The sequence below is a fragment of the Homo sapiens genome, chromosome 5 (genome assembly GCF_000001405.40).
Source record: "Homo sapiens chromosome 5, GRCh38.p14 Primary Assembly".
Classification (NCBI taxonomy): Eukaryota; Metazoa; Chordata; class Mammalia; order Primates; family Hominidae; genus Homo; species Homo sapiens.
Genome location: NC_000005.10, coordinates 123,187,083 through 123,194,895, shown reverse-complemented (window position 1 = coordinate 123,194,895; position 7,813 = coordinate 123,187,083). Strand labels below are relative to the sequence as shown.

Here is a 7,813-nt window from a genome sequence, read left to right as displayed (position 1 = left end):
CAGAGGAAATGCCAAGTTCTCACAATGGTATTCAAGGCTCTATATGGTCCAGCCCACTTTGACTCTTTGACCTTACCTCCTGCAATTTCCACCTCTTTCAATCCACTCCAGCATCAGTGTCCTTCTTGCTATTCCTACATGCTCACATATTTTTTCTAAGTGAAATTTTATTTTCCAACAGAACAAGAGACAAACAGCTGACTTTGGCTTTCTTTCTGAGAGCCCCCAATCACATACATTCAGAAGAGTCATAGCCCCAGGCCACTCTCCGGGCAAGTGCTTTCTGCTGTGCTCCAAAGCTTATGGGGTTAGAGGTCAAATATCAAGTCCAGCCTGCCACAGATTTGTGGCTGGGTCTCTGCGCACAGTTTCCTTAAGAAGCTGTGCACCTGACTTGGTTGGGCAAATGAGCATGTGAGCACATGAATAAGGAAAACAGTAATCTCAAATGCATCCGAATAAACCTCAGGGCTGAATTTTAACAACCTTCCTGCTTGCTAGGTGTATTTTCTAGCTTATACTTCCCCAACAAGAGTTTGTTGACTGCCTACTACCTAAGCTGCACACTAGAATCAGATGGTGCTTGAAAAATGACTGTGGGACTGGAAAAGACAGAATCCAAGGGAAGATCGAGTCATCATAAAAACGTTTTATTAATCAAATATATTTACATTTCTTGGTCAATGATCTCTAAATGTGTACCTGTTTTTTCATTTAAATACAACTTAATCCTGGTAGATTCCATCACAAGAATACAGCAGCATGCATGATCTCATTGGTCCTTTGCAGTTATTTTTTCATTAAATAATGTGAGTTTAATAAAGTTAGAAAACTTTATTAAGTTTTACCCATTCTTACTGTGGGATAATCATTCTTGTCATATCAGTGGCCCTTACAGCAAACTACACACTCCTTATCACCCACAGTGAGATTCTTCTCATTCTCTTAACTGACTTGTTTAAGCTTTCCAAACTCCAAAAGGCAGATGTGAAACTGGGCATTCACTCTAACCATTTTATTTGGTGGAAAGTTGGAGAGAGACATATTTCTATTCCAGTAGGGAACATTTACAGTCCTAAACTTAAAATAACCACATTAAAGAAATGTATACAATGTCCTAATAGCATCTAAATATCACACTTCTATTAGCATCCTACAGAACTGGATGTCTTCCCCTTGATATAAAAAAAATAATTAACTTGGGACATTAAGTTTCCAAAATAATTTTGCTGATCTGAGCCAAAGTTTTCCTTAATTCGTTAGTCATCACCTTAGCCTCTGCATTTAAACTGGGGGAAGGCTTTTTCATGAAATACTTAGAACTGCTAAGGAGAATAATTTTGCCTCTGGCTTTTGCTATACATTTTCTCCAGGTTGGGAGAAACTAGAGAAGTGTACTAGATTGTTCAGAGAAAGTAAGTCTACAAGTGCTGATTTTGTTAACATTAGACAATGCCCACATGTGGATCAACAGGGACTGTGGGTTGGCAGACTTTTGCTCTAAGATGGCTGCTTTCCCCAACATGTGGCAATCACCTGATACGGCATAATTGCTTTTAAACATGAAAGAGTTGTGCTGTAGAAATAGATCTCCAGCTTGTTAAAGTTTATATCTAGACTGTTTTCAGTTGGGAGTGATGTACCAAAGTGGGAGAAAGGCACCAACAAGGATGTTTTTCAAGGCAGGAAACAGGAGATATCAACCAGGACCCACCATGTTTGACAAGGAAAATATATTTATCATTTCAACAAACAAATGTGCCCATTAGAATCAGAATCTGGAGGAAAGTAGTATACATTGTGGTTTCAATAAACCACGGTAAAGAGTTGTAATAAAGCCAGTTCATGATGAAATTTTGTACACTTACTTTTTGAACAAACCTCACAGTTTCATCTAGATTGTGCCCCAGAACTTGAACTGGTTCCTTGAGTACCTCATGCATGTAACTACACTATCTGTGCCTTTGACAAACCAAACCTATAATGACTCCAGTCTTTCTGCTGCACTGCTTTAAACCAACAGGCTAACAACATAAGCCCATATTCTTAATGCACACAACTGCGTAATGACTCCATTGATGCCTGGAAAGTAACTCACTTAGCATTCAGTCAGAACAAAGAAAGAAAACGAGATTTCACTTAGCCCCGTTGAGGATGTGTTTTTACCTGTCGATAGTGTTCGAACCTTATTCTCTTCTGGCCACCCTCCAACACAACCTGCCCTTCCTGCCTGTTGCCATTTGTCCTAATGTATATCACACTTGAGAGGGTTATTTTTTTTTCTTTCAATGTGGAATTTTAGATTCCTGCTTAGAAAAACAAAAACAATGCCTGACAGCAATGGAATAGTTGAAATTCTGTCCAGCAATGAGATTTGGGCATGACAAAATCAGCATCTATAATGATACGTGTTTTAATAGCACTTCAGTATTGTTTCCACAAACACATTTTATAAATAAATTATACTTGTGTTTATTAATTTTTAAAAGCTCTTGTTCTCAAAAAAAAGCTTTACATAGAGAAGTATTTTCCTCTTTTAACAATTGCCTGTTTATGGCTTTGAAGGAGGAAAAAAACTAAAGAAGCTACAAAGCTAAAACTGTTAAGCATATATGAGAAGGGGATAATGATAGTATCTTTGTTATAGAGTTACTAAGGATTAAAAGAGATAATCCACATTAAGCATTAGAACAAGGCATGGCAGTAATTGCACAATATAATTTATAATCATCATCATTCCCATCAACCTCTGTGGGAATAAGCGCAGAATGTCCTTATTTTTCCATTAAAATTTCCTCCATAGGTTTTCTAAGTGCAGTGGTGGCATATTCAGTCTATAGGAAAGACAATTCAAATGTTTCATGACTTTGACCTGTTTCCGACATATTTTTTGTTATCGTTTTACATATTGATCTGATGAAACATCTGGCATTTATTATTTAAAGGAAGAAACTAAATAAATATTTTAAATGTCAAACACAGCCATGGACTACAGGTTAAACATCTGTGGCAAGGTTTCCACAGATAAAGCAATATTCTTTTCAGTTTGGCTCTGTCTGGCCAGTTGTACCTGACAGCTGATCTCTGGGTTTGTAGAATGCAATCTTGGGGAGGGCTGAAATAGGTGCCTTCCTAGTAACCTGCGTTGTTGTTTTGTGGTAGTTCAGATAAATGCTAGTGAGGGGAGAACTTTAAACTTTGGGTTGATGATCACCCAGGTATCTAGTTAGCGCATAAAATTTTCCAAAGCTCTTCACCTTAAAAGGATCCTGACAAGTGAATAACATTTCTGGAACTTACAGTTATCATTTAAAGAAGCATATATCTCAGTATCTTTTAAAATCTGATGTCAGGATCTAGTAAAGACTCTGGGAAATAAAAATTAAATTCATGTCAAGGAAGAAACAGATAAACATTTCAGGAAATGTGATTATTTATTTCTTATTCCTGGCCTGGTTTCTGTAGGCATGCATAGCCTTAATATGAGAGCAATGAATTTGCTCCTAAACGCAGGCTGCTGGGTACACTCAGAGGGACCCGTTAACCCTGCTGTTCTGGAAATGCCCTCTTTGTGAGACGTGCCATGATTCCCATTTTAAACAACTCAATAGATACTTGCATTTTAAATTTTAAATTAGTGCAAAACAAATAATGTTACTTCTGCACACCGGGGAAAGGGACTACACTGCCAACGCTTACCACTAATGAGGCAACTCTGACCCATTCAGGGTCGCAGATCTCCTTCCCTGAGCAACTCCAGCCTTGTACCCAACTTGTTGCCTTATCATTGAAAGGGGGGGTCATAAAAACCCAAGACCCAGGCCCTAATCCTGGTCTCTTGATACTGCTGCTAACAACCAATAGCCCAGTGAGTTAAGCAAAGACAACCAAGTTGTGCATCTTAACTTGTTTTGCAATATGCTATTTTCTGGTCCCCAGATGAATTTACCTCTCTCAGATTTTCCCAGTTGGAACAAAATCTTTAACTTCACTGAGACAATGGTCTAAAGGACTAAAATACCCATTTTACTAGCAGCCACTTAGGAGGAGAATATTATTTTATCATGAATAGTCACTTAAATAATGCTGCTTATGGTGAACACATAAAATGGGGTCTTTATATAAAATAAGAGTTCAATAAATACTTGTTGAATAAATGAATGAAACAATGAACATCTGATTTAAAAATTGATGAACTGCTAAATGTTCGTATAAATCTTTGCATACCTGAACCAGAATGAAATTTTTACAAGGTAAAATTCAATTATGAGCCCTATGAGGACACAATGATGTCATGATCTTTTCCTGTTATACATAGTTTCCCAAGAAGGCTACATTTAAATGAACACAATAAAAAATGTACCAACTGAATCAAATTATATAAATTATATGAGATTAAGTTTCATAGCTTTAATTAGCCATACAATAACTTTTTAGAAGTATATCTCCTCCAAAAAAGTCATTTTTAAAGATAAAAACAAAACAAAAATGAAAAGCTTATCTATGAAAAATGTATGCACATATCCTGGGGAAAATACAACTTTGCCTTGGGATATTGAGATTTTTCTAGAAATGCAAAGGTCTGCAGCTCCATCTCTCATCCTATTGCACCCTGACTTTTCCCTGGCATTACCTTTCGTCTTAGACTCTGCTAAATAAAGGAACATACGCTAGGATGAAAAGTCTTATTCTGAAAAAATTATTATTATTTTATCCCCATTGAAAGAAAAGAGTAAAGAAGGATTGCTTCAAGAGCCAAACCCTGATTCAGCTCTGACAGACTACCTTTCTTATCTTAAATATCCTTTCCCCAGTGATTCAGAGCATTTACTCTCTTTATAGCACTACTAATTAGGAAGTTACTAATAAGAAAAACTGGCAAATTTTACGACTGCAATTTCTACCACCCATTTGCTGTATCCCAGGGGACTGTGTGTCCACTTTAAATAGAAAAGGCTAAAGCAATTGTTAGGAAGTTTCAAAGAGAAACCTCCTCCCCAGCATACACTTAGATTAAAATCATTTTGGACCCAAATGATCTCAGTACCTGCTTCAGGGTTCCAAGTCAATGTCCAGGTGTAAGCCTGTCTTTGTGGACAGACAGCCTAGGCTGGTCTGCTAGAAGCTGGCAATAGGACAGCAATGTAAAAATTGTGAATGTGCCCACATGCCTGGAAAATTAGAGTATCCAATTTTCTATTTGTTAGGCAGAAAATATTTTCTGACCAAATTTGGTGGAATATATATGCCAACAATTTCTCTTAATAATAGAGGATAAAAATAGATTTAAATGGAGCAGAACACTAGAAGAGTGTTTTGGAGTACAGGTTACTGCCACATTCAGTGGAAGTTTGGGATCAGCTAGCAAAGCTATCAGGGTGGCAGAGAGATCATTGTTAAGGAAAACCTTCCCATGCCAGACATCAAGGGAGGAGGGAAGCCTTCTCATTCTCCCACGTTCTGAAGCTCATGAGAACTGAGTAGTACATGGTGTTCCACTGTGAAATGTGGCAAATGGCTGAGCTGATTTTTCAAATGAAAAAAAAAATTAGAAATATACAGGTGATTCCCTACTGTTGTTTTCAAAAAGTTTGAGTAAATCTTTCAACCTTAACAAATGGAACAGCTTACTCATCTGTGAAGCTGATCTGTCCTTTTCTTGCAGGTTTCAGGTTAATATGGCTACATTTCATTCACACTTCCCAGTGACGCACATTGTTTGCAAACGTATCCATCACTTAGGGCAGGGAATTGTAAAATCAGAACACATTCCTAACTACCAGAGAGAATAGTTTCAATCAGCTACTGTTATACAGCAGCATAGATTCCTTACTACTTTCATGACCAGGAGATAGTAAGAACTGGAGGAAAATTCTAGGTGAATGGCTTGAGATTGGGCAACAGAGGTCAGAATTAGCCATTTTTTTCTTTATGGCCCAGGGTTCTAGAGATTATTATTATGTGTATATATGTATATATACGTATATAAATAATAACTGTAAACACTTATTAATTAGACCCTGTTGAATTCCATTTAAAATGTGGTAGCTGGGGTGCTAAGGAATAGAGAAGCAAAATTAAAAGGGAAGAGAGATTTTCTCAGAGCCAGATACATAATAATAGATTAAACTAAACCACACAGTATCCTTGCCTTTTAGTAGTGAGTTCAGTTATGTGTCTCATTTTTATTGAGGGAAGACAATGGGAAAGCTCAAAGACAAGGAGTTCCTTAAAAGACTGTGTCCTGATATCAGGTGATGATGAAATTTACAAACAGAAACTGTTGTTATTAAACACTCTAGATAAAACTGAACAGTTTTTATCTAAACTGGCCATCAAGGTAGACAGTCGCTGAGATGCTGCTGGGAGCTATCAGCTCTTCCCAAAACTAGATCATTTCATTAAATGTGACCCAATTTCATTGAGCACCACTGTTGAACCACCAACAGGCTAGCTGAAATTAAACTCACATTCTCAGCACTCAAAGAATAGTGAAATTGTGTGGAGAATTCCTTCTCTTTCAATTAATCAATCTCAAGAAAAGACAAAGTAATCCTATTGATAAAATTAGCTGCTCCTGGGCTATCTGTTCTAACCACAACCTTCTCCATGGTTCCTCCTCTCAAAGTCTCCTTGTCTGGGCTATTTTCACTTGTGTTTGTAGACATGCTCCTCCCACACTCAGGAGAGAGGAAAGGGGGCTCCTGGGGTTCATCTGCAAGAGGAAGAAAGATAAAATTGCTAAAAGGGCCTTGACGATGGGGTTTGGCACTATTTTTGTTCACATGTTCAACACTTTCACAGAAACAACTAAAAAAATTACAATGAAGCCTAACACCTTATCTCCAGCCTTAAACCAAAGAACTTTATTTTCATTTTCTTTTTTTTTTTTTAAGCTAAAATGTTATTGAAAACAAATGTTTCTCAACGAGCTGCTTCGGAACAATATAACGTATTATGAAGCTCCGTACATTTTACATGTTCTTGCAATCTTGACAGGACAAAATAAGTCCTCAACTTTTTCCTTTGAATTTTGAAACTGAAACCATTTTCTTCCTTTTCCAGACTCTCCTGCATCAAGACCGGGCTGTTTGGAAGAAACCGTGTAAAAAGTGCATGAGCAGTGAGCATGGAAGACATGGAAATGGGATGCGTCTGGGGCTGAAGGTAGCATTGACTCAGCGAAGGCTCTCACTCTGCTTCCGTGGTCCCCGCTGGGGCAGCCAGTGTCAGGCCAGGCCAAACTGACACAGCAGAATGAAGGGCTGTACAGTGGGTCCCCATGAAACATGTTACTAAAAAAAGGTGCAACGAGAACCAAGTCCCTGTGCATTCTTAGTCACAACGGTGGGCAGAAGAACCCATACGATTCCTCCCTTTGGTATTAAATAACAGTTTTTAAAAAGCTTTTTAGAAACAAAGCAAAATACATGGTGGGACTGGAAATGTTAACCATCCCAGGTTAGTTGTCCACTGAAATAAGTCTCATCCCTAAGTCATAAATAAATAATCTCTTTCCTGGTCTGACTTCCATGCCAGGATCAATATCTCTTAACATCTTACTTATTTTATTACTGCTTTTGGTTTTCTGGGACTGATTGAAAGTTGCTCAGAGGAAATCTTTGGTTTTGCTTAAGTGTCCGTGACATTTAATCATGACTTTCCTTGCAGTTTAATTCCAACCAGTCAATCCGTTAATCCACTTCGATTGATTCTGGGCTCTCAGTTATTGGCTTGCACTCATTGGGCATCCGCTGGTGTCGGCTCAGCTGGGTGGCCTGCGTGAAGCTCCTCTCACACCTCTCGCACCTGG

At 38.0% G+C, this 7,813-nt stretch overlaps 1 protein-coding gene across 2 annotated transcripts in view; it reads right to left on the bottom strand.

The window, feature by feature from the left end:
* Window positions 630-7,813, bottom strand: part of PRDM6 (PR/SET domain 6) — a 105,026-nt gene continuing 97,842 nt past the window's right edge. For both annotated transcript variants that reach the window (NM_001136239.4, XM_011543726.4), the window contains one exon: window positions 630-7,809. In NM_001136239.4, the coding sequence (NP_001129711.1) occupies window positions 7,695-7,809 (115 nt within the window). In that variant the 3' untranslated portion in view covers window positions 630-7,694. The remainder of the gene's footprint in view (window positions 7,810-7,813) is intronic.